Source organism: Homo sapiens, chromosome 6, assembly GCF_000001405.40.
Source record: "Homo sapiens chromosome 6, GRCh38.p14 Primary Assembly".
Classification (NCBI taxonomy): domain Eukaryota; kingdom Metazoa; phylum Chordata; class Mammalia; order Primates; family Hominidae; genus Homo; species Homo sapiens.
The window spans coordinates 72351286-72379208 of record NC_000006.12 but is presented as its reverse complement, the minus strand read 5'-3'; the positions used below and the strand labels follow the sequence as shown (position 1 = coordinate 72379208).

Genomic DNA, 27923 nt, shown 5'->3' with positions numbered 1-27923 from the left:
CTTGATTAAACACTATCTGTGTGTGCCTTGTTACAGCACCCTATCGTGTACCACAGAAGATAATATTCTAAATCAAACCCAGTGTGGATTTTTGAAATAATAAAATTAGTTTTAGGAATAATAAAGAATACTCTCAGTTCTGTAGCTTCAGATAGAACATTTTAGTCCTCTACAGTTTCATGTCTGGAAGAATAAGGCTCCTCTTCTAATAAGAGAGTTAATGGAAATTTTTCTTCCCCACAAAGTCTCAGAGAATATTGGGTTAGAGGGGAAGATTCTAGCAATAAACACCGTTTATTAAATACCCTCATGGCACCCCACAGGGTACAATAAACAGAGGTGTCCTTTTCTTTTTCTTTTCTTGTCTTTTGAGACGGCGTCTCACTCTGTCGCCCAGGCTGGAGTGAAGTGGCATGATCTCGGCTCACTGCAACCTCCATCCCCCAGGTTTAAGCGATTCTTCTGCCTCAGCCTCCTGAATAGCTGGGATTATAGGCACCTGCCACCACGCCTGGCTAATTACTATTATTATTATTATTTTAGTAGAGACAGAATTTTGCCATGTTGGCCAGGCTGGTCGTGAACTCCTGACCTCAGGTGATCCACCCGCCTTGGCCTCCCAAAGTGCTGGGATTACAGGCATAAGCCACTACACCTGCCCTGAGGTGTCCTTTTCTAATAGTTTAATATTCTGAAACAAACACACATGTATGAAGTTCTTAATTATTGTGTGGAAATGACTGTACTGCACAAGTTATAGATAGAAGAGAGGGTTTTAGGTCACAAAGAAAATTAAGAAAAAGTGTTTTCTATATTCTGTAAAATGGAATAGATTCTCTGTACTTCTTACCACATTCCACAAAATAAATTAGATGGATTTTCATCAAAATTGGGGTGGTTTGATTTAGAATAGAAGCTATGCAGTATTGTGAAATTCCTGTTGGGAGACCCAGCAGGGCAACTTAAAGAGATAGGCAGCAATTCTTGAGAAAACCTGAAACAGAAGTACAATTGATCTAGGAGAGATGTGGCATATGTAATTAGTTATCACTAAAGAAGCCCCCACACTGAAAATCAAAATCACAGCATCAGGTACTCTAAATGGTAGGGTGATAAGGGATAATTGGGCAGTTTCCTGTTGGGGGACTCAATGTACCTTGAAACAACAGCAGAGCAGGTATTTATTTATTCTTGAGTGCTTATGATTTTCCCAATTCACAATGGAGAGGCAGACAGCATGTGTAAGTATACTTTTGTAAGGATGGGTGAGGTAAACACTTAGAACAACTTACACGACCATTACTGAGAAGTCAACATTAATATCGTTCATATGAAGTAGTTAAATGTTACAAGGAAAGAATAAAATAAGTTTGATGATCTCCTAAAGGCAAAGTTTGTGTAAAGAGGAATTTTGATTCCTTTACATCTTTTAGTTGTATACATTGATCATATCAGGATTGGCCATGATTTCCTAAGAACAAGATGAATATATGTCTGTATATATAAAATAAAAATTCACAAAGATGGAATCAGTGAGTTAGTTAATCAATACAGGCAGTTTATAAGAATATATTATGTTCAAGACACTATGAAAAGATAGTATCAGTTTGGCCTTCAAACCTCTGCTTGGGGCCCTACTCTGTTCTTGCTTTCAAGGGTCTTGCTCTGCCCTCTTCTTATCTTACCTCTTCACATAGCATATAGCCTTCCCTGTCCCATAGACCAAGAGGGGGCCAAGAGGATGTGCCCACCCAGAGTCCATGCCCACTCAGAGCCCATGTTCCCTTCTGAACTAACCTTCAGATCCATGGAATCCTAGAATTTCCTGCCTCAATGGCCCTGCATCCAATCCCAGAGCTAGCCCAGATGTCTTTCTAGGGTTTACTCTCCTGAGGATGGATAGTATCAGCAGTGTGCACACCCTAAATTCCAAGTGGCAGTGGACACAGCTTGAACACGTGCGCAAGGACACTCAAGGTACAGGACGGAGCCAAGGTTTGGGAACAGAAGAAGGTGGGTGACAGGTTTCAGCAGGAGGTGGGGTAAGCCAAGCCCAAGCACAGAACTCTGGAGAGCCTGAGAATTCTAAATTGAAATGTGACCTCCTTGGTCATTAAAAAGATATTTTTGTCAAGGAAGGAGACTAAAAGACCTTTTATTTGGCATTTTGTTAGTTTGGTTTATAACTTTTAAATGGCATATATGAATGTGTACTTCCATTTATTGCTCAGGGCCTCCAGTAAGCCTAGAATCTCTCAAGCGTAAAACTGTCCCATGCTTCGTAAACAATGAATCCTTTATTTTGATCCATTTGAAGGAACTATCATTAGAACAAGTCTGTTGCATAATTTTGTTTGGAGTTTTGGTCAGACTCTGAAAAACCTGTGATAAATTTCTGTGATTAAAAACCCAGGGAAATCTTATATGAGTAGCAAAATCTGATTCTCTTTTTTTTTTTTTTTGAGACAGAGTCTCTCTCTGTCACCCAGGCTGGAGTGCAATGATGTGATTTTGGCTCACTGCAACCTCTGCCTCCTGGGCTCTAGTCATCCTTCCACCTTAGTCTCCCAAGGAGCTGGGACTACAGGCATGCAACACTACGCCCAGCTAATTTTTGTATGATTTTGTAGAGACAGGGTTTCATCATGTTGCCCAGGCTGGTCTTGAGCTCCCGATATCTGCCTGCCTCGGCCTCCCCCAGTGCTGGGATTACAGGAATGAGCCACGGAGCCCAGCCCTTCTTCTTTTTTATAGAGTTTTTTTCTCTCCTTAGTTCAGAAGACTTGGGGGCCTACAAGGAAAGGAGCAGATGTGGAAGAGTAACAGCTCTTACTGGAGACTCAATTCTCACATTAACACACCGGGGACTGGGAAAATCTATAGACCCAGACAAAATATTCCTCATGGAAGTGAGGCAGGATGACAGCAGGGTAGTCAGAGGTTTAGGGTAGCAAAACTTACACTTCACAGACTAAAACAAGGGTATGCTAGCACATATTGTAATGACTGGTTTACGATCCTCACATAATTGGGTGAATATTTCTCTATACATTTTTAATAGAATGTGAAAGCATTATTTACAAAGATTTGATTTAAGAAGAGATTAAAAGAAAATTGGGGTGCTAGGGTCAGTCCCTCCAAAACTTATTGGAAATCATATAGTCTTTTTTCTAACTTCAGAATTTTCATGAAAAAGTAAATTCAGATGTACCAGAAACCATCTCTTTTCTCTTGCATTTATAAAACCAAGAGGCAAGAATGTGGTCAGAGATATTTACCACTGCTAACTTAAAAATATTCCATTTCCATTTTATTAAAAGGGAAATTTGGAATTTTATTGGCAGATAATTCAGTAGGCAAAGATTACAAACATTTTCACCAGTAAGCTCCCAAGGAGCAAGCCAGCAAAAACTGCAGAGATCCCCTACAGGCCATATCTTAGTTACAAAGCAATCCAAATCCAATCCAGGTTTGGGTCCCTTGTGTACCCAAACCTTGCCCCACTCCCTCCAGAAGTACCTGCATACAACTCTAGGAGATTCTGTCATCATAGAAAAAGCAAATTCAACTGTGAAAAGCAATAACTACTCAAGGTAGCTGCACTCTCCCAAAATATTATCATCTAGAAATGTTTCACTCTGTTTAGTTATATCATAATTGGAGGCTTATTTGGATTTATGATAACTAACTACATGTGGCTGGTACAAGTTAGTTCATCAGTGTAATTTCTAACATCCAGCTGACATACCTATTCTAGAGGAAATGTAATGAAAACTTAAAAAAAAAGTTATATATTTACTGAGTGATCAGAAAGGTAATTTATGCTTTTAGAGGAGAAAAAAAGTATCAAGATTATTTAGTAGGTATAGAACGAGTTATTAGTAAATACAGGAGAAATTCTGTAAAATGTAAGAAGAGAGATAAAAATCAATTAATTAGAGAGGCCAAGAGAAAATCAGAAACGCTAAACTTGATGAGGCAAAGAGCTCATGAGAGTGAGGGTGGCCATCAGCACAATGTGATTCTGACTGGCTAGTCCTTTTAAAGCAGGGGTCCCCAACCTCAGGGTCATGGACTGGTACCAGTCTGTGGCCTGTTGGGAAGCAGGCTGCACAGCAGGAGGTGAGTAGTGGGCGAAGCTTCATCTGTATTTACAGCTGCTCCCCATTGTTTGCATTACTGCCTGAGCTCCGCCTCCTGACAGCTCAGAGGCAGCGTTAGATTCTCATAAGAGAATGAACCCTATTGTGAACTGTGCATCTGAGGCATCTAGGTTGTGCATTCTTTTTGAGAATCTAATACCTGATCTGTCACTCTCTCCCATCACCCCCAGATGGGACTGTTTAGTTGTAGGAAAACAAGCTCAGGGCTCCCACTGATTCTACATTATGGTGAGTTGTATAATTATTTCATTATATATTGCAATGTAATAATAATAGAAATAAAGGGCATAATAAAAGTAATGCACTTTAATCATCCTGAAATCATCCTCCCCCTTTACCCCCTGGTCCATGGAAAAATTGTCTTCCACAAAACTGGTCCCTGGTTTTGTGCCAAAAAGGTTGCTGACTGCTGTTTTAACGCAAAATACTCTGACCACTTCATTTCAGACTGGCACTGAGATCTACTCTAGCTCAAAGTATGGATATGACAAGAGAGAAAATAGGCAAATAATGTAAATTGTGCTAATTTGAGGCCTGGCCACACAGGCCTTGGTAGTAATTTGAGGGCAGGTTGTGTGACACCAATGAAGAATCATTCCATGACTGGGAAGAATATAACTTATGCATAAAAACTTAATTAGAGCCTGTGTGCCCTAAGGGTTTTGGGAAACTGCTGACTGGTTGCTTTTCCACTGACTGTGGTTAGAATAGGTACTAAATAACAAAACATAGTTGCGTATCTGAAGACCAAAAGAAAACTCTTAGGACATAAAAAGAAATGGTTTGGTGGTGAGAATTGGTACAATGAAGTATTAAAAACATTAGGTCTTTAGGGCCAGGCGCAGTGGCTCACGCCTGTAATCCCAGCACTATGGGAGGCCGAGGCGGGCGGATCACGAGGTCAAGAGATCGAGACCATCCTGGCCAACACGCTGAAACCCCATGTCTACTAAAAATACAAAAATTAGCTGGGTGTGGTGGTGCGTACTTGTAGTCACAGCTACTTGGGAGGCTGAGGCAGAAGAATCACTTGAACCTGGGAGGCAGAGGTTGCAGTGAGCCAAGATCCCGCCACTGCACTCCAGCCTGGTGACAGAGTGAGACTTCAACTCAAAAAAATAAAAATAAAAAATAAATAATAAAATTAGGTCTTTAGTTTTCATCTCACTACTCATCTTTTAAAAATTAGATGAACATGAACTTGAAATATGCAATACAATAAAAAGTATACTGGTGAAGAAAAAATCTGGTGGATTAAGGTTTACCAATCTTCAGAACTGCATTACTGTATCTTAAGGAATTGACTAAATTACTTCAAGTACAGTATTTAATGATTCTGTGGGAGAAAAAAAAATGTGCCTAAGCAGATGTCTAAGCTTTAATGAATGAAAATGTTAACAAAATGTGAGATAAGAATGATAACGTATTACTGACTCTAATTTAATTTGACATCCTTAGCAGAATCAATTACTTTCTGCCTCTCTTCTTTCCAGTTTGCTTATTACTCTCAAGGCATTGTCCTAAATTGACTATAAACAATGACAATCCTGATAATTTGAGGAGTAGGAGGTGTGTTCAGTGTTAATCACACACAAAAATGTTTGATTCTGGTTCAGCCACACTTCAATAAGTGGGAATGAATGAACATGGCCATGAATGTGGAATTGATAACTCTTCCTGAGAAGGAAAACACTGTAATTCACAAGGTAAAAACAAACCTGATACTTTTTCATTAGAGCAGGAGTATATTTATAAGAATATTAAATACTGGCTTATGCAATACTAAAGCAGTACTAAAAATAAGCACTGAGCTGAAAACCCTGAAATTCAAATTATCGGTGGGTTAAATTGATCCATTTTAGAATAGAACAGATCAGAAACTTAGCATTGAAACCTTAAAAATAAATGACGGAATCCAAAGTCTGATCAAAGAATCCAAGGTGCAGTAAGGTTAAACCCTTAGCCTGTGGTTACTTAGCTCCTTACCAACACAATGAAAATTAGAGCCTTAATTTTTCCACTTCTAAGTCTTTGACCTTTACTGTAGATAAAACTTTAATTTTAATTTTGTTTAAAAAAGAATTGTCTTATTATGAAAGCAGTGGACTGTGTCCTTTATTCCCAGGATTGTTTGTTTCAGAAATCACACACATTGTTACACTCCATTTGTTCACACTCTTAACAGGCCAAGTCCAACCTCCAGTGACTTTAGCATCTCCCTGCTTCAATAAATTGTTATGTAACAGGTCATGCAACCTGGCGGCAGCCATATATAGTTTCCCAACAATGAATAGCAAACCAATCGCTGAAGATTAGACACAGTCCAGAGAAACCACTTTTAGTTCTTTCCGATGTTCTTAGAAACAGGGAGATTTTGTTTGCAAACCTAATTCTTAAGTATGCTCCTTCAAATTGCCCCTACAAAGGTACAAAAGGGAGAAAAGTACTGTATGTCCCTGTTTACTCTAAATTCTTGGTAAATTGATTTTGGCTGTATTTCTCTGTACAATAAGTTCACATTTTTTGGAAAGAAAATAAGCAGTCAAGTTCTAAATCAATCTCAGGAAAAAAGAGCATTTTTGTAGATTTTAATGTTTCACCTACCATTTGCTAAGTTAAACACATAAAAAAATCTTTAAAACATTAAAAAGATGGAACCCTAGAAAGCATGGCAAAAATAATTATCTCAGGAGTACATTAACAATTTTGATGAGAAATGATGGGTAATTTTGTAAAGGTTAAATGCCATGGAAATATATATCTTCAATCTCAATTGTTGAATGAGATACTTTTACCTTTTATTTTCCTTTCAAGAAACCACACACAATATAATATTGACATGAAAATTCATGATTCTCACCAACACATGTTTATGGCCTGTCCAACACAGATTATGAGGTCTGATTCTGATCCAGAAATTTCAAACAGGCTTCTAGAACCACAGGCCTAGAATCCTTGGCCCAGGTATTTTAGATTCTTGTTTTGAAACAGCCTTTAAGATTGCTGCCTTTATTCTAATACTCCACATTCTGACTTGCTGTGAGCCCAAGATGATCTAGACTGTTTCCTGGTTAGACTGCAACCCAGAGTAGAATAATTATATTCATAAAGAATTCCACTATTTGATAAATATTTTCAGTTTTTTGGATGAGGAAACCAAGGATGAGAGAGGTTAAATTATTTTGCTGAGATCATCGCCAGTAAATGGCAGAATTAGAACTCACATTCAGGGCTTCTAGCTCCAAGTTACCAAAAGCTTTGCCCCTTAAAAGGCACCAGGTGAACTATGGCTAAGGGGCTCGTCTATCTACACAGGGACTGGTTGGGTCCTGCCCATTGCCTCTTAACTTCCTCTTGAATGCTGGCCAGCACTTCAGGACGTGACCTAACAAACTACATTTCTGTCTTCCTAACTCTGGCCTTCAACTGATTCCTGATTCCTTCTACCTTTCTGGTGTCCTTGGGAGAGAAGTTAGTCAACTTTTCAGGGTATACTTCACACTTCAACTACATATGCAAATAAACATAAAACTGTAAAATTCAAATATGGACAAAGTTTCAAGTCTTAATTAAAGTTGTCTCTTTTAAGTAGAGCACTTTAAAGTAGTGCTCTACTAGAAAGAAAAACAGGATGACAGTTTGCTTACACATCTTAGCATCTGCAGAAATCATGTTTCTCCAGGAGAGTACTGTTATTTTACCAGAGTAATAATCCACGAATTTTTTTCAAAGACATATTTTGACTTACTAGCGCTTGTAATTAATCCTATGATAGCATATGGCTGGGGGGATGTCACACATAGGTGAAATATCAATTAAATAAATTTGCATAAGAACCACCCATAATAGACCCTCCAGACCACACATGTGCACACACAGCACACATACACACATACATACACATACAGACACAGACACACAGAGATATGAGAGAAAAGGAATAGCTTTCATTGTTATAAATGCTTTAAATGCTTTTGATCAGAGTTGACAAATATAATTTTAAAATTTCAAGTTTTTCATATAAAAAATCTCATATTTTTAGGAGAAGGCAGATTTTCTCATATCCGTTTGTCTTTAACTTTCATGGGAAGACAAATTTCTCCCATACTTCCTCCCAACTACATTCTTCTCTACATCAAACCTCTCCTCCTTTTCTGTACTGGGAGAAGGTATCCCTCCTCTTCCTCTGCAGCATTCCTATCATATAGTTCCTTTCCTCCCTTTTCTTCTCTACTTTATTCTCTTTATTTGTACTCTTTAAGCCCCAGTACTCCCCAAATTTCTTTTTTCACAAGCTGCTTATAAATATTTATGTCTGCTTTCTAAATGCTATCCATACATGTACAAATATTCATACCTTCACTCCCCAAATATATATGCAGCACTTAAATGGTATTGTTATAAGCACTGTAGATTAAAAATTAAAAGACACTTACAACCTGGTGGGGGAGGAAGGAAACCACATAAGCAATTCTATTTCAGTAGAATCAGAAGTAAAAAATATTCCTAAGTGAGAGATGAGACAGGGGATCAAGTTAGCATCTCTCCTGGGGTAAGTTAAAGAACTTCCTGCTGAGGAGGAGATACTTGAACTATAATTTGAAAGTTAAATATAACTTGCTAGACAGATGAGAAAGGCAAAGGGCATTCATGACTGTGGGGGCAAAGGTCCCGAATGGTCTTTTCACTAAGTAATCATAACAGTTGTACCTCTAATTCATTATTATCTACTGTGTCTTGAAATACCTGAGATTTGGAAACCCTTTTAACAATCTTACTTAAATTGTACTTTCAAAGTTCACAATAAAACCACTAGCCTCTTCTCAGGTCAAATTTTCTCTGAAACTTTGGTAGCAAGGACCCCAAATACAGGTGGAAAACAGGGGAACCAATGCTGTGTTCCCTGCCCCACTGGAAATCTTGGAAAACCAGGGAGAAAGTGTAGCAAACAGAGGAACAACTATGACTATGTGCTATTTTAGTTCTTTTCTTAGCTCTTTAATCTTTTTCCCTTTAACTCTTCTTTCTTCTGCCCCTTAAAAATGGTTTCTTCCAAGAATTAATCTTTGATGCAGAAGTTCTACAGCCTTCTCTGAGGATCTCCTTAACTCTCTGAAGATCTTCTTAACTCTTCAGGTGGATAACTCCCAGGGTGGTATCTCTAATCTCCATAGCTTTCATGAGTTGCAAATCATAATTTCCAATAGACTTCTGGCTGCTTTCGCCTAGCAATCCTACCAGCATCTTAGTGTTTACAATACTTTGGGGTTTTCTGATGTGTCAACTTGGCCAGGCTACTGTTGCCAGTTAATTGGGGGTTTCAATCAAATGCAAATTTGGGTGTTGCTGTGAAGGTATTTTGTAGCTGTGAATACAGTCTACAATCACTTGACTTTAAGTAAGGGAGATTATTTCAGATAATTTGAGTGTGCCTAATTCAATCAGTGGAAAGCCCTTAAGAGCAGAGTCCAGGCTTCCCTGACAGAAGAAAATCTACCTGCAGACTGCAGCTTTAGCCGGTGCCTGAGAGCTCTAGTGTACCCTTCTCTCATGACCTGCCCTAGAGACTTGCCTAGCCACTTCTCACAGTCATATAAGGCAGTTTCTTGTAACACATCTTTTAATATACATGTCCTACAGATTCTGCTTCACTGGGTAGAATCTGACTGAGATATACAGACCCAACCGGCCTCCTATGAACTTCCCATTTCTGGTAAAGGCACTGCTCTCTATCACTCACTATCCTCTCACTATCAAAACATGACTGTTAATCTTAACTGCCTTATCTCCTCTACCTGTTCCTCCCTTCTTATTTCAATTGGTCTTCCCATATTGAGATTCTTATCATTTCAATTGGCTTGGTACAACCATAACAGCTTAATTTTCATAGAGATGGCATATTGATCTCTTGTTCAAATTTTACTGGTTCTCTCCTAGTCTACCATAACATTTACTGTGCTCCCATACTAGATTCACACCACCTTTGCCATATTTACCTCTTCCTACTCCCTGACAGCAACCCTCTGCTCCAACCAAGCTGGTTACATCCTGTTTCCTCTGTATGAGCTGACATGTTCTGCCTCCAAGCTTTTCCTTATCCCATTTACTTGGGATGTCCCTTCCTGTGTTTCCCCTACCAATCCTTTAAGATTGCCTCAAAACATCTTCCCAACAACCAAGTGTGACCACCCTAAGCTGTAGTGATACTGCTCTCTGAACTCCTATATTATTTTCCCTGTAAATAAATAATTGACCATGAACTACTCTATGAAAACAGATTAATGCAATAAACTTTAAATAAAATCTTTCCCTTTTATCTAACTTGTCATCTGAATTTATATGCTTCTAAATCTCTCCCCTCAACACACTCCTGCCAGAGTGCTTTGTGAAGACTCGTGCTTACCGCATCTTCATTGAGTGAGCTGGTGACTGAATTTTAGTAACTAAAACTTATAACATTAACTGTGTATGTATCTTCAAAGAAGCCCAAAGTGGAGGCCGAGGCGGGTGGATCACAAGGTCAGGAGATCGAGACCATCCTGGCTAACACGGTGAAATCCCTTCTCTACTAAAAATAGAAAAAAAAAAAATTATCTGGGCGTGGTAGTCCCAGCTACTCGGGAGGCTGAGGCAGGAGAATGGCGTGAACCTGTGAGGCGGAGCTTACAGTGAGCCGAGATTGCGCCACTGCACTCCAGCCTGGGTGACAGAGCGAGACTCTGTCTCAAAAAAAAAAAAAAAAAAAAAAAAAAATCAGACAACACTGATTCTGTACTGTTGGTCTTACACCAAGTTTATAACATAAGGGGGAAAAAAGAAACTTTTTTACTTAGGTAGAAAAATAATTTCTTGCTGCCTATAAATATTATAACAAGCACAGATAAGAAATAAGAGGACATTTTATGCAGTTGGTTAAGCATAATGATGGCATAAAACCAAATAGATGTTAAGATTCCTTTTAAGACAAATGAATGAAACTAAATTGGAATTATGGGAGGCAAAAATATAAATTACAAATGTATTAAAGCCATCCTAAGTACATTTATACCTTTATTCCACGGATAAGCCCTGCTTCTGAAGGTAATTATTAAATAAAATTGAAATTAGGAATTAATTTAATACAAGTATTACTCAGAATATAAAAAAATATATAAATAAAACACAAGCAACATGTAGATGACTCTTCTTGGATAATCTATGAAACCCTTCATTTGCAAAAGTATTCTCCATCATATTTTGATTGACAGTTCTTTTAGAAAGAAGTAAGAAAGGAAGTTACTGATAAATATGGATAGTACTGCACAGATTATATGTTTAGTCTTTGGAGAACAGCACTGTTTTTGAATATATATATGTATGTAAGACTGTCCTTTTCAAACTCTAGTGGTGACAACTGTACACTTTCAATTTCAGCCAGGCTGTTTGTGACATCAGAGTATCAGTGAATAAGAAAATGATTCTAGAAATAAATTATGAGGTTATACTTCTACCCACACTTTTTCTGAAAGCACAAAATAAATCTATTTTTGAAATTTCATCAAATTATTAACACATATGTTTCCTTTGGATCTAAAAGCTGACATTTCCCTGGTCCTTGCCTGAAAATAACAAAATAAAAGGCAAAATTTAGGAAGCCTAAATAGAAAATGTGACTGATAATTTCAAAATGCAAAGTAAATATACTTCTGAATTTCCAAAAGAAATGCTCATATATTTGCACTGAATTGTACCTAGAAGGGCTATATTGTATACAGTATAGCTGACAAATTTTAAATAAGAATAAAGTTGTTTTAAAGAAAAATATAACTTTATGATACCGTTAAGATTTATGTTTTGGTAGTAATGAGTTTAAGGACTGCTCAACTTCAAATCCAGCTTTAAAATCCTGTAAGTCTAGCTTTAAAGTTAATCATATTTGGATATTACAATGCTATAAATAAATCTACTGTTGCAACATCATTTTTTAATTATTTCGTCCACTGCATAATTTTTATGTTTTTTCATTTTCATTTAATTATTTGCAATCTGAAGTATAACACTACCTTTGAAAACTGTTAAACAACACTGAAAGCTTCAGACAAATATAGAAATTTGGCTTTTGGCTAGGTTTTATGAAAAGTTATAAATAAACAAACTCCCCTTATAACTTAGTAAATACATATAAGGAACATAGACTTACCTTGTCTATCTTGAAAAAATTAAGTATCAGCATTAAATTGTTCTCTGGGGAAAACTGAATGCCAAAGAAGCTTTGACCTGGTTTAAATAACTTGTGCGGTGGCTGGCTGGAATATCTGTCTGAGCTGCCTGTGAACTGTCTTCTCTGTCTCTCTCCCATTCTCTCTCCTCCTCCCTCACCCTCCGACACTCTCTCCTTCTCATGCATATACAGAATATAATTAAATTGCTTCTGTCAAGAGTGCTTCTTTCCTATAGCTTATTGTAAGACCATGAAGTGTAACATCACTAAGCAAATTTGCCATGTGTCATAAATTTGAAAACTGCTAAAGGGCCACAATTTGAAAACTGCCACAGTCACAACATTTTAAACAAACTATGTAACAAAGACATTTAAATCAAATGAAATGAAAATATGTTGCCTACTTTATTGAATATAATATAGCTTCTCCAATTAGGTAAGAAATCTCAGAGAAGTAAAGCTCAGGGCTAATACGTGATTTCCAGGATAAGTTTGTTTAAAAGGTTTTTACACAATTAAGGGGAAGGTTCTATATCGATCTCTTGTGTTGTACTCACTTGGCACTTGTAATACACATTTAATACACTTAAGCTGTCAAAATTATCACTTTCAATATATACTTATTAAACACTGATAGGTTTCAGCTGCTTTCCCTGTGTCGTTTCACGTCCCACCCTACTGCCACGAGAAAAACACTAGAACACTGGAAATAGAAAAACTTAGAAAAAAAAGGTTCTAACTTCTGTTGAGCACTTTTTACATACCATGCCTTATGCTTAGAGCTTTACACACATTTCCATTAACCCTTATCATAATTCTCTGGTATTGGTATTGCTATGTTTTACATGCATGAGAGGTTCAGAGAGTTAAGAAGTAGTAAGTGTCACAGCTACCACCACAAGTGAAAACAAAACCCTCCAAAACACAACCAAATTCTAAGGCCCGTCTTCTTCAAACGTGTGTAAGCTCTTTAAGCTCTTTTTATAACATCATGTTCATGGAAGGAATATGGAAACAACAGGATTTTACCGTAAGAGCATATTTCTGTGTGGCTCCTCCTCACCTCCATAATGGCACTAAGGAATTAAAAACATTAGAGTCTAGAGTGTTCTGTTTTTCCTCTTTTTCCCTCCAGGGCTGTGTCAACAGCATGAAGGAGTAAAAGTCAGCAAGAGTGATCATTTTTCATGGTTAACCAGGATAATCCTGGTTTATGCCTGTTCTAGCATATTACTAATGGTGGCCCTCTTTTACTTACAAAGATATTCCAGTTTGGATGCTAAATTATATAGTCAATAGACATATAAGTGGTAGAGCAATACAAGTTAAACTAAACCTGCCTCAAAACTGCAAGTGATATTTTGGAATTTTGACAGGACTGGTATTAAAATTGAAATGGCAAGGGATGAAGTCTATGTAATTCAAAAGTTTAGCCTACTGGTACCTTGGTAAACAATGTATCTGCCTCTCAGAACTTGGAGTATTTATCTGGGTTTATAGAAGGCTGCCATATCCATGTGGAATGCCATGGTTGGGTGCCCTGAATAAAGGTGGAATATAAACAGTGTTAAAATCCTGCCAGAGGACCCCAGCAGGGAAGAGAAGGCACAGAGAAAGAACGTAAAAGAATGGCTTCCTCAAGCACATACTGCAAATTTGAACAAATCAGAAATGAAATAACCTCATAGAACTTGTGGTTGGGCAAAGAGCACTTTTGTGCCTTAGAGCCCCTCACTGGCTGGGCACCTCTGTGCAAAGACCAAACCACACAATTAGGTGGAGACTCTGGGTAGAAAACTACGGGAGCAGATGCTATTGGTATCCTGGCTATGCCCCGTAGACATTCACTGTTCCTGTATGCAAGGATGCTGTCTTACTGGAAGCACCTCCAACCCTCTGCTGAGGGTTCCTTCCAATTGTGTAGTCAGCTGTGAGCATAAGGAAAGCAGGCCTGAAGAAGTCAGTGACTCTGCAAGCAGTCCCATAGCCAAGGACAAATGAGAGATGTTGGATAAATCCTACAATTTCCTCACGCTCAGAGGAAACACTTCTCATAGTCTCCCATAGAACCCCAATTGCCTACAGCAGAAATCTGATAATTAAACACCGTATTTTGACTTCCTTTCCCTGTCTCATTTCCCCACAATCAATACTCGTGCTTCCCGGGGATCAACTCTCAAATAAACTACTTGCACTCAAATCTTTGTTTCAGGGTCTGTTTTTAGGGGAGCCTGACCAACACAGTTGCCAAAGAGAAGCTTACTCTACTTTGTAAGGCTGGAGGACTATGTGGTTTAGCCAATATTTGAGAAAGATAAGAGAATTTTTCATGAATTAGTCAATTGATTAGTATTTTATAAAGATTAGAATGACATAACTTTTATTTGCCACAGACTATAAACGATTCACATTTCACAGGTAGCATGCGGGGACTGCACATAGAGTACAGCCTCCTTCAGATACTCATGCTCTATGGAATAATTTTTATATGGCTATCCATCTTGACTATTTTTAAAGGTGTAATTAGATCTTGATCAACAGAGAAATGTATCCCAGTGATACATTTCCTCGTTATAATGTGTCAGAAGGGGCAGTAAGCTTTTACAAAACAGTGTAAAAAGCTGGATAAAGATATGCAAAAACCACAGAGAAAACAAGTGATGTCACTGGCAATATTAGGGCAGAAAAACAGGAAAGCCAGAATAGAGTTATTTTAATAGAAGTAAAAGAGAGGGCTTGGCCTATTGCCAGGCTTGAAAAGGCAAAAGGAAAGGCCCAGAGTGGAGGAGTTGGTGCCAGGTGACTCATCTCAAGACACCTCATGTTCCATGGAATCTGGTGAGGAAGGCATGGTGCCTCTGGGATCAGCAGTCTTGGAGTGTTTAAGCCCACAGGAACGGGAAGCTGTGTGGGATGAGGTTGCCTTTCCTCCCCCACACTACCACCAAGTACTAAATCAAATAATCTTTAAAATCAGTTAAAGAAATCTTGGTGTGATTTGAGAAGGAGCTTTTTAATACCCGAATTATCCCTTTAACCAGTTGGTTGATGCCTGAAATGCCTGTATTTAGGGAAACTGTTTTCATTATACAATTTGAAATAAAATGCAAACCCCTGGTTAAAGAAACAAGCCAAATGAATCTCAGCACAAAAGCAGTCAATGAGGTATGCTTTCAATCTTTTTTGTATGTTTCCAGTAGTGCTTAATAAATAATATTTTTTAAAAAAGAGTCATTGTCAATGAAAAGGCATGCATATCAGAATTCTTTTTAGAAGCTAATTAACTTGTCTTTATATATTTCAACTCCAAATATTTCTCTTCATCCTAACTCATTTTCTTAAATCCACTCTTGCCATTTCCTCTTGCCCCAGCCCCATTCTCCAAACAGGAAAATCTTTAAATCTGCGAATCAAATTATGCACTATCTTTGCTCAAAACCCTTCAATGGCATTCTACTGCACTTTAGATGAAACCAAAATTGCAAACATGGTCACAAAGCCTTACTGGAGCTGGCCCTAACTTGCTCTTAAGAATGTTTTTGCGCCACTTTTTCCCTTTCTCCCTATACTCTACTTTTTTGACCTTTTTTTACTTCCTTAAAATTACTTTCACCTTTTCCATCATAGGTCATTATCTATAATATTCCTTTTGTATGAGGTCCTCTTCTTTCCCTTGCACTACTCCCTTCTGCCTTGCACACCCTTTCTAATCCCTCAGGTCCTGAAGTAGCAGACTTCATTGCCACCAGTCTAGGTTAAGTCCCCGTGTAGGACACTCACAGGGCCCTATACCTCTTCATAACATTTAATGCATTTGAGATGACCATCCTGTTTCTGTTTTCTTGTTACATTATAAGATCCATGAGGGTAAGGACCATGTCTGTCCTGCTTATTACTGTATTCTCTAAGCCCAGCATAGTGCCTGGCATGTACCAGATTTTTAATAAATATATTTTGAATGAACAAATGAGGAGGGACTTGATCCAAGGTCTTCTGGTCCCAAATTCTATATTCTCTGTGCTACAACTCCCAGAACACATGGAATTGAACAACTGAACTATAGGGAAAATGACATAAATAAATGAATAAAGATGAAGAGATGGTTAGAAATCAAACTTTGAAGACAAAATTTTGACAAGAGTTCTACCTATTTATTTTTAATTTAGTCAAAAGATATAGAAGTGCTGAATGAAGCATTTTATCATGCAGTTGTTTTATCTACTATATGGGTATATTAAACAACTGGGGATAAAATTAGTTGGGATTAAGTGAGATGCAGTTTGCTTTTTTTTAAATTTGTATTTTGTTGTCTTCCCCCCTCATTACACATAAGTATACATTTTAGTGTCTAATTTTGTATTCATAATTTTATTTCTTCATTTTCTTCAAGAGGGCTTTCCACAAAATTCCGACCCTGTAAAACCTAAATCTGTCTCTGGTAAGTAAAATAATCTCCTCCATACCATGATGTCCCGACTTGGAGCAAGGGAACCATGGAGCCAGTCCAGTAATAAATATGGTAATACTCATTTTAAAATTTCTTTATGCTTTATCCTTAAAGAAAACTTAAGTGGTTGATTAGCAGACTTGTACTACTTCATCCTAAATTAAATTGGTAAGAAAACAATATGTTTAGTTTCTACTATTCAGAAACTGTGACCTAGGGAAAGATTGGTATGAAAAAAAAATCCCTTTCCCTTTCTCAGTGTATATAGTACAACTCTTTGTTACATTTAAACTATATCCATGGATATCAGTGTGCTTTGGAATCCTCTGCTAGCATTAAAGATGGAAATAAAACCATTAATTTGGGCGAAAAAATTACAATACAATACAATACAATACAATACAATACAATACAATACAATACAATACAGTAATGGTCCTCCAAAGATGTTCATGTCCTAATGTTTACAACCTATGAACATGTTATGCTATGTTACATGGCAATGGGGAATTGTGCTGGCAGATGGAATTAAGCTTGCCAAACAGTTAAAGTTATCCTGGATTATCTGAGTGAAGGCAGTATAATCACAAGAGTCTTTATAAGAGGAAGAGGGAGGCAGAAGTGATGTGAGAAAGACTTCATTAGCATTGCTGGCTTTGATGATAAAAGAAGCCAAGGAATGTGGGCAGCCACTAGAGGCTAGGAAGGCAAGAAAATAAGTTCTCTCTTAGAGCCTCCAGAAGTAATAATTTGGTGCAAAAGCAATCGCGGTATTTATAATTACTCTTAATTAATTAAGGGTGATAATTGCAAAAAACACACTTACTTTTGTGCCAAGCTCATAACACAGCCTTGACTGTGTTGTTGAAATACTTTGAAAATACTTGAAATACTTGAAAATACTTTGACCCATTTTAGACTTCTGACCCCTGGAATAAGATATAAAATTTGTGATTTTTGTTAATTTATTAAGCAGCAATAAGAAAGTAATAGCAGCCGGTGCAGTGGCTCACACCTGTAATCCCAGCACTTTGGGAGGCCGAGGCGGGTGGATCACTTGAAGTCAGGAGTTCGAGACCAGCCTGGCCAACATGGTGAAACCCCGTCTCTACTAAAAATACAAAAAAAAGCAGGGCGTGGCGGCATGTGCCTGTAATCCCAGCTACTTGGGAGGCTGAGGCAGGAGTATTGCTTGAACCGGAGACGGTGGTTGCAGTGAGCTGAGTCGTGCCACTGTACTCCAGCCTGGGCAACAGAGTGAGAATCTGTCTCAAAAAAAAAAAAAAAAAAAAAAAAAAAAAAGAAAGAAAGACCCGTTCCTACAGAAGATTACTCAAAAAGTTATCACTTTACAAAAGGAACCTCCCTAAATTTCTCTTTTATTTATAAGAAGATCTCATGATCTCATGATCCAAATCCTGAGAATAATATGAAGGTTTCCAAATAACTTTTAAAAAAAAAAAAACCTACCACTTAAACAGAGGATTTCTAAGGCTAGGAAACATATCCACTATACCCATTATTATGTTCTCACCTATGGAAAATAGAGTTGTTTGTAATTAGAATGCATTTAGTCAAATATTTATTAAGTATTAAAGAACTACGCACAAAAAATAAAACGCCGTCTTTTTTCCTATCTTTTTTAGATAGCTGGACTGTAGCCACAGTTTTATATATATAGTAAAAAAAATATAGTATACATATATAGTATAGAATATATTAAATATATAAATATAGTATGCATATACACACATATACATGTAGATATGTATTTCCCTTTTATTAAGACTCTTTGCAAATCTAGATTTAAATCCAAATGCTAGCACTGATACGACTTTTGGTAAGTTATTTAAGTTTCTTTTTAAGTAAAGTGGAAATTGCTCAGTTTCCTGGGAGGAATGGAAATGATAGATTTATCCATTGAATAACAGTGTACTGTAGACCCTTTGGCATTTTCTCACAAATACAGATTCCAAGTAATAACATTTCCATATATGTTTGAAAGCAGATGCTAACAGAAAGACTATTGTACAGAAAGACACAGTGCTCTGGTCAGAAGGTATGTGATAAATAGATTAATTTTATGAAAATAGAAACTTGTAATTAGCATTAACTATGATTATTCAGAGGGTGTTTATAGTCTATTATTTGATACAAATCAAAATACTACAAAAGCTAGATGCTACTTCTTGCTTTTCAAGGTATGGTGAGGAAGGGATGAAATGCAGGAGTCACTCAGTGAGTAAGCAGAAACTAGTCTCTGCTTGGCAGTTTGAGATGGCTATACAATTTGAATTTGGAGGGTGAACAAAACTCTGACTTGTAAATTTTTCTGTTTTAGCCCAATCACTCCAATTAAGGCAAATAAACTTATCTGATAAATTTTATACAACTTGTGTTAGAAATCTATGAAAACTATTGCATTTTAAGTCTCCATGTTAAGGTCTCTGTAGTTAAAAGAGTACACGATGCTGTCAGAGAGTTGGGTAAAACAAGTATTTTATATGGTGGGTTGTTGTCATGATTTTGGACAATAATTCTTTAGATATCTGCTCATGGGAAGAAATCACTTTAAAACATAATAACGTATTTTGAAACTCAAACTTGGGATGCACTTTGTGATTTATGTGTTGTGTTATTTCTCTCACATGACCCTTGAAGGGAGATTTTCAACTGGAAAGGAACCCTTGCTATTTTACACATTTAGTTAAAAGAAATGCACATCAAAATATAGTAGTCAATTAATTTTCTTGTACTAGGGACGTTTTGATGACTCTATGGGTGCTATATGTTAATTTAATGAGCTTTGCTATTTATATTATAGTGTGAAATGGTCAATATTAAGGCAGGTCATTGAAGACGTGCCTAACTGGCTTTGTGATATTTGGAAAGGTCAGTCTCTGGATTAAAGAAAAAAAAAAAGCAAATTGCTTTTAGGGAAACAGCCTGTTGCATGGCAAGAGCGATTCTATCTTGAAGTGAAGCCACCCTAATAACCAATGTTTGACTCCCACATGTAAAGGTGTTCTCAGTAACATCTTTAAACAATGCCTGCAGCATAGATAATCATGAAGATGTTTATCTAATCTCCCCAGTGGTCATTTGGTAAGAAAGTCTGAAGATGTGACCAGCACATTAAAAGCTTGCTATATAAAGAATTCTTTCTGGAGATTGGTGCAAGGATCCACCATCTTGCAGCCACCTGAGACATCACTTCTGTTTGTAAGTCCCTAGTTAATAATTCTTTCTGATAAACTGTATTTGTTAGCCTCTTTCTTTGGCCTCTCAGCTCTGTTGGCCTTTGGTGGTAGGTTTGCATTTACTTGCTCAACACAGAACATTGCTTTCTAATGATGTAAGTTAAAAGTAAAGATGAAGCCTAGAGAACACAATAAATAGGAGATTAAAGAATGACCCTTAGGTGGCCTCTTTGAGGTTTAAGATGTCTCATCTGATCTGATATTTATGGCTAAGGCTCTGTTATGCCCTCTGAGGGCAGTCAGTGTATTATCTGAAGACCTACCTATGGACTTAGGTAGCACCTAGGTAGTTAGCTGGAGCCTGATGTGTCAGATCACTGTACCACTAAACTTCCCACATCTATTCTTTCCCTCTTTCTCTCCTGTAACAATGCAAAAGGTGTCTTTCCTCTTGCTGGATGTGATCCCTCCTGCCTTCAATCAATAGACAAGGCTCTATTGATTAATTCTCTCATCTTTTTATCTTAAAATCTTCCTTTCAATAGAATATAAGTATTTCAAAACCCATGCTTTTCCTTGACAAACTTAACTGCCTCCCCTTCTTTGTTCATATCTCAGAGAACAATTTTTAAACAAATGTCTTCTTTCTCTGTCCCCACGTAATCTCTGGAAAGTGTAATATTTTGCAAACACAAATTCTGTTGAATTTATCAAAGCAGTCTTTGCTAACCAGTAATTCTGGAATCTCAGCAGCCACTTCAAAATATTTGTTCCAGTTCTCATACAAATGAGAACTTTACTTTGTATTAGAAAAATACTCACTAAAAAAAAGAGAAAAGTACTCACTTAAAAAAAGAGAAAAATACTCATTGAAATGTTTCAGAAATAATGATCTTAAAAACAGAATTGTAAAGATTTCTCTATCACTTTCATTATCTACCTTGACTCCTGGCCATAGTCTTTAATTATATTTTGTTGGATTATATTTTACAGTACCTATGCTTCTAATCTATCAGCACCTTTTTTTTTTCTTTCTGTTCTTTACTTACTTCTATGAGCAGCAAAAGGGAAAAAATAATTTCATATATAAATCCAGTAATTGTTTTGGGACTCTACTGTGCTGTACAGACAAGGTGGTGATACTGTTTAAAATGAATTGTTTCCTAACGGGCACCAGCTGTGTTTGAAATCAATGTATAATGTGTGAAAGTTATAGTTGCATAAAAGTGAAATGTAAAGACGTTGAGCATCACTCAGAAACTGCTATTTTTTGATGTCTCAATCTCTATGAAGAACCAGACCTAATATATGTTTATCTTTAGAGAAAATTAAAAAGTTAGGTGATACTTTTAGCATTGTCAATTACCAATAATGCAAATTTCAGAAAATTTCAGAGTGGAATTATGACTGAGATACGGTTATGAGCAAGTTTGGTTCCAAGCTTACAGAAGTGCTAAATGTTGAATATCATATGTATGTAAAAATCAAGTAAAGAAGGATTTGATTAAAGTCACTGTTGTGAAAAACAAGTTACAGAACCATAGACTGAAGAGCTTGGAAGTATTAGAGACCCTGTAGAATCCAATGCCATGAACCTGCTGCAAAGAAAACTGGCTGAAAAGGTGAAAAGAAAATTGCCAAAGTCATATAGCTAGCCTCTGGCAGAGAGGCACCTGAAATCCAGGTCTGTTGACTCTCAGTACGGTACATATTCTAATACAAGTAAACATAAATACAGAACAATCCCCTAAGTCTATTTGTTACACCTTAGAATATTCTACCCATAAAATATTCCTATCCCAGGATGAGAGGCTGGTGCAGTTCATGTATGTGCACCACTCAGCAGCAGAACTGATCCTTCATCTGAGTAAAGAGATGGTGGATTGCAGGATGCCCTTGGGCTGCTATGAGAACATTTCAGCCCAAAGTGCTGGTCCCACTCACCCTCCAACTGAACCTAGTTGAGGATTAAACATCAAAGCCACCCCAAACCTGCAAGGTTAATGGGAAATATTTTCTCTAGAGGCTCCATGGAAAATAATCTTTATTCTCTGGCCCACAGGCTAAACTGAACTCAATACAAATTACTGAATAGCTTAGACAAATTTTGGTGCCAGGTAAAAAGAAGTTTGATATCTGTGGTATTTAGCTGTGCTTTATCCTGTAGTCACAGATCCTATAGCTGCAATAAAAAATCTTTGCTGTTCACCCACAGATATGTATGTCTGGCTTTAAAATTTTGAATTATATTCATAGGAGGAATTAAGCAGTGTTTCAGAGGATATTTGAAGCTCAAAGATAAAGGTAGAATTTAGAGAAGAATGCTCTTTTATACTAAAATATTTTGGAAAATTTTTTATAGTAAACATTAGTATATGATAAGCAGAAGGCTAAAGTCTCATTTTATTTTATTTTATTTTTTATTATTATTATTTTTTGAGACGGAGTTTTGCTCTTGTCACCCAGGCTGGAGTATAGTGGCGTAATCTTGGCTCACTGCAACCTCTGCCTCTGGGGTTCAAGCGATTCTCCTGCCTCAGCCTCCTGAGTAGCTGGGATTACAGGTACCTGCCACCACACCCAGCTAATTTTTTGTATTTTTAGTAGAGATGGGGTTTCATCATGTTAGCCAGACTGGTCTTGAACTCCTGACCTCAGGTGATCCACCTGCCTCGGACTCCCAAAGTGCAGGTATTACAGGTGTAAGCCACCGTGCCTGGACACATCTCATTATTTTTTAGATAAAATTGAAGACTTAAAAGAATATTCCTCTTTTAGCTGCTGTTTGAGGCTATGCCCTGTCTTTCTGGAGATATGCACTACTTCCCTTTGCCATTAGAGGCCTTTCAGTGGAAGAGTTTAAGAAACACAGAACATCATTTTTTTTTTTTTTAAACTTACCTTGGCAGTACATTTCCAAATTCCAAAAAGCAAGCCATAGAATTTCAAGTCTTCTTGAAGCTTAGTGATTTGGAGTTAAAGTAGTTTTTAGTTCATACGTTCCAAAGATAGGAAATAATTATGTTCTAAAGATACCGTTAAGGTCAGTTGTCAGCATAAAGTGGACATAATTTAGAGATTGTTGTGTCAACTGACTGGATATATAATGTTAACCTGTGTTTGGGGTATCACAGGAAAGCTTAATATAGTAGACTGGAATCACCTTCCAGATTATGTGGAAGAATTACGTCAATGATGATATACAATATTCTTTGTACTTTTTGAGATGTCTAAGCCAAATAAGTATCTAGAACGCAACAACAGAATCTTCTGAGAACAGTGGGAGTCGTTATGTGTAATCACAGAAACGTCAAAAGTGTATTTTATCAGCAAATCTGATTATTATGCTCATTATGATATTTTTGTTATTGTTGGGGGAGGAAGGAAAGATGGTTATAAATGACAGGTATCGAATTAGACATGTCAGAAGACTTCATAGGGAGCTCAACGATTCATTTAACCAAGCAATAAACCACTGGGAAACTAGATGGGAGACATGTATGTTTATTAAAATATCATGCAGAATAGGAGGTGGAAATATCCAACATCTCGAACTGGCAGTCTCTAACCTGATAACATAACTGCTGCACAATTTTTCAGTGTAAAAAATCAGCTGCTTGTTCTAAAGGTGTTTTCACCCATCTTTATGCATACAAAAGAGGAATAATAACACAATTCGCCTTTTGGATATAAGGAAAAAAGGAACAATCAAGGAACAATAATTTTAATAATTTAAAAATCTTTACAACCCCAAATATATTGTAATGCTATTATTTTCCAGGTTATTTTTGCTCTAACAACAGTATGTAAATACATATATTTTCTTGTTTTGAGAAGTTAAGATTTAGTTGTAATACAAGTAAATCCTCTAAATAAACTATTTTTTAAGGGTATGATAAATTGTAATACTTACAGGGATTTTTATGTAAGTAGTGAAAGATGAAGTTTAGAGACAATATAAAAGTTTAGAGACAATATAAAATCAACTATGGATTGACTAGAAGATAGTTGTATGTCCCTTTAACCCGTATTTTCATTTTGTCAAAAATTATTAAGTGACACAACTGTTGTTTAAAAACAGAAAATAAAACTTTAGTTAAGTATACAAAATGCATGTATTCACTCTCCTTTCTAAGATATTGTCTACCTTATTGGTTGATAGCATTTTCGGTGCACTATTACAACACATAACAGTTCTCCCCACACCAATTTGGCTATATAGGTCTATGAACATTCCTCGCGTTTAATATTTAAACATGCCACTGAGCACAAAAAAAAGAATTAAAAAAGTAAAATCTAACATTGGCAGTTGGGTTTTATGTATAAAGTAGCAACAGGGCAGACCTCAGGTGATGTTTAGACTTACTTCTTGGCCTAGACTTATGTTAACAGAACCCCAAAAGGTCTAAAGCACTAAAGAGGTTTGCCAACTACACTTAGATGTGGGTAGATGTTCTATGGGTTTACAAATACAAGGTGAATAAAACTGAATATACCCATCAGAATCTTTATATTCTACATAGCAAAACAGTACTAGGAAAAATTAGAAATAAATCAAGTCTCCTATAGTTAATCAACAGCAACTCTCTCACTTAAAAAGTAACACTGGGCATAGCATACAGAGCATCTAAGAAACAAAATGTATGCAATTCCAAATTTTAGATATTACACATTTTACTTCTTTTTGTTAAAGATGTGCTCTGTAATCATTACAATTATTTTAACTACAGCAAATACATGAGTAGGTTAAAAATTGGTATCTCATATATCCCATAAATATATATACCTTTTATGTACATACAAAAATTAAAAAAAATTGGGCTTAGTGTTAGAAGTAAATTTAATAAAATAGAGTTCTAGCTTAAGAGCTAGAATTTTCCATAGTGAGAAAACTGTCCCCATGGAGTAGCTAAGAAGACAGAATATGTAGGCGCAAAGCCTGGGTTTTATTTATTTGTTTGTTTGTTTATTTATTTATTGAGACGGAGTCTCACTCTGTTGCCCAGGCTGGAGTGGAGTGGCATGATGTCAGCACACTGCAACCTCTGCCTCCCAGGTTCAAGTGATCCTCCTGCCTCAGTCTCCCTAGTAGCTGGGATTGCAGGCACGTGCCACCACGCCCGGCTAATTTTTGTATTTGCAGTAGAGACGGGGTTTTACCATGTTGGCCAGGATGGTCTCTAACTCCTGACCTCAGGTGATTCACCTTCCTCGGCCTCCCAAATTGCTGGGATTACAGGTGTGAGCCACCGTGCCCGGCCAAAGCCTGGGTTTTAATACTAGCTCTGCCAACCCCCAGTTACTTAATCTCTATACCTTAATTTCCTTACTGTATACAGGAAAAATGTTAGCAGAACCTATTCCATTGGCTTGTTTTAAAGATTAAATAGTGTTGATAAAACAACCTGGAAGAGTAAATGATATATAAATGTACATGCCTGTTATTTGTAGACATAAACAAGCCAGAAGTAGTAACTGAGTATCAGAGGTGAGAGAGAAGAGAGAGAAAAAGAGCAAAATAATGTGTGCTTTGTGACGTGACCACTTCCCAATCACCTTCCCTCCAATCCCCCCATGACTAACAGTTTCTTCATCAAAGTCTATTAAACTCATAAAGCCTGGACATGAACAAACGTTTTTTGTTCTGTTTTGTTTTATAAAGCAAGGAAATGGCTAAGCTTTATGCAGTCTATGTTGTATTGAACAGGGGAACCTGGACTCTAAGAGTCAAAAGAGGCCAGGAAATTTTAAAACTGACGAATGAATAGAAATTGTGGGGTCAGTTTTGGATTCTGACAGGCTTTGAAACTCGGATAAAGGGGCTCTCAAATTACATTGTCAGTGCACAAATTTTACAGTAACATAAGAAAGCACCAGTATTTTCAGACTTTACTTTAGAACAGAATTTAAACTCAGCCGGACGTGGTGGCTCATGCCTGTAATCCCAGCACTTTGGGAGGCTGAGGCTGGTGGATCACCCGAGGTCAGGAGTTCGAGACCAGCCTGACCAACATGGTGAAACCCCGTCTCTACTAAAAATAAAAAAACTAGCTGAGCGTGGTAGTGGGTGCCTGTAATCCCAGCTACTCAGGAGGCAGGAGAATCACTTGAACCCGGGAGACGGAAGTTGCAGTGAGCCGAGATCTCGCCATTGCACTCCAGCCTGGGCAACAAGATTGACACTCCATCTCAAAAAAAAAAAAAAAAAAAAAAAAGAAAAAAGAATGTAAACTCTCAAATGACTTAATTATTTATAATGAAAGCCTTTTCAAGTTGTGTGTGTGACAGTCAGTTAGTGGTTTCTCCCCTTTCCAGTTACAGAATTCATAGTAAGTGGTTGCTAAGTCAGGGATTTTATTTCTCGGGTCCCATCCCCAGCATCTAGGCTTGGCCATGTGATTAACTGTCATTAATAGAGCATTAATAGGAATGATGTGTGATGCTTCTAGAACAAGGCTTTTAGTAGTCAGATATATGTTCTCCATTTCCCTTTTATACTTTTGCGATATGGATTCAAATGACAAAAATGCATAACATGTAAAGAACCTGGGCACCTGAACCACTGCACAGAGGAGAGTTGACTGCCTGCCATGAGCATCTGCCTCAAATTATTAAATTAACAATAAATAGAATTTTACTAAATGTGAGCCTTTATACTTTTAGGGTAAATTTTTATAAAAACTAGAATTACGTTAGCTAATATATCAAATTACTTGAGGATGATATAATAGTATGATGGCTAAGAATAAATTCTACCACACAAATACTGTGCCTATCAGTTATTAGCTATGTGATCCTGGGCAAATTAATCTTTCTGAGTTTTAGTTTCCTTATCTAAATAAAATGATGATAATAATGGTACCTGTTTTAGAGTGCTAGAATTGTGCCAGTATGACTCATTGTATGTACCTGATAAACCCAGTCTTCATTAATATCTACAATTAGGCTTATCCCTGTGGATGAGTGAATTAGCTAAATAAGCAGAACAAATGAATCCAGTTTTCTTGTAAGTATACAGAAACATTCTGAACAGTTTAAGATAGTCTACCAAGAAGCTGGCATGGTTGTACAGTAAAACGTTTGCAGAGTCAGAAGGTTCACTGACAGTGCCACCTCCTCGGCCAACTTCAATGACATGCCCCATTTAGAGCACAGACTCTGTAGCCCAACTGCTGGATTCCAATTCCAGCTCTGCCCTTACTATGTGAACTCAGGCATGTTACATACCTCTCTGTGTTTCAATTTCCTCATAAGTAAATGGGACTAATAAAGTGAGGCATATCACTGAAGATGAAAAATAGTGGTGTGCTTCAGCTTAGTCTTAGGGTATAAAATTATATAGATATACATGTTATAATTTTCTCCTTGTAAAAAAATGAAGTCCAAATTAAATATTTTTCTGGTTATAAATGACAAAATGCTCACCATCGACACTGAAGATTCTGGATATTTACAGGCAATTATACATTTAACTAGTATATAATAGCATTTTAAACATACTGAAGGCATGTGGTGTAGTGGTTAAGGACTGAGGCTATAGGCACAGACTAAAATTCTAATTATTTCTTTGCCACTTACTAGCTGTGTGACAATGGTTAAGTGACTTAACTTCTCTCAGCTTCTGTGTTTTCCTTGAAGAATCCAGCCAATTGTCAGGGTCCTGTGTCACAGTCTCTTGTATCAATGTCATAGGGTTGCTGACAGGGTTAAATGTGACAATACACATTATAAGCCTTACAAAGGACCAGTTTACATAATATGGGCTGAACAACTCTTAGCCATTCTTATTAGTAATTATTAGGCACTTGATCAATATCTGTGGAATGAATGAAATAAATGTTTGACATCACCTAAACATGACTGTCAGTGATGAGTGAAAATAAAAACAGTAGCCATTTAAGTTCAGTGGAAAT

General features: G+C 37.0%; 1 protein-coding gene across 89 annotated transcripts in view; it reads right to left on the bottom strand.

The window, feature by feature from the left end:
* Positions 1 to 27923, bottom strand: part of RIMS1 (regulating synaptic membrane exocytosis 1) — a 516596-nt gene that overhangs the window by 23937 nt on the left and 464736 nt on the right. The window contains exon 1 of one of the 89 annotated variants that reach the window (NM_001168411.2): positions 12343 to 12463. The exons of the other annotated variants lie outside the window; for them this stretch is intronic. The gene's annotated coding sequence lies outside the window, so the exon portion shown is untranslated. Of the gene's footprint in view, positions 1 to 12342; positions 12464 to 27923 lie in introns of those variants that run through there. 89 annotated transcript variants of the gene reach the window in all.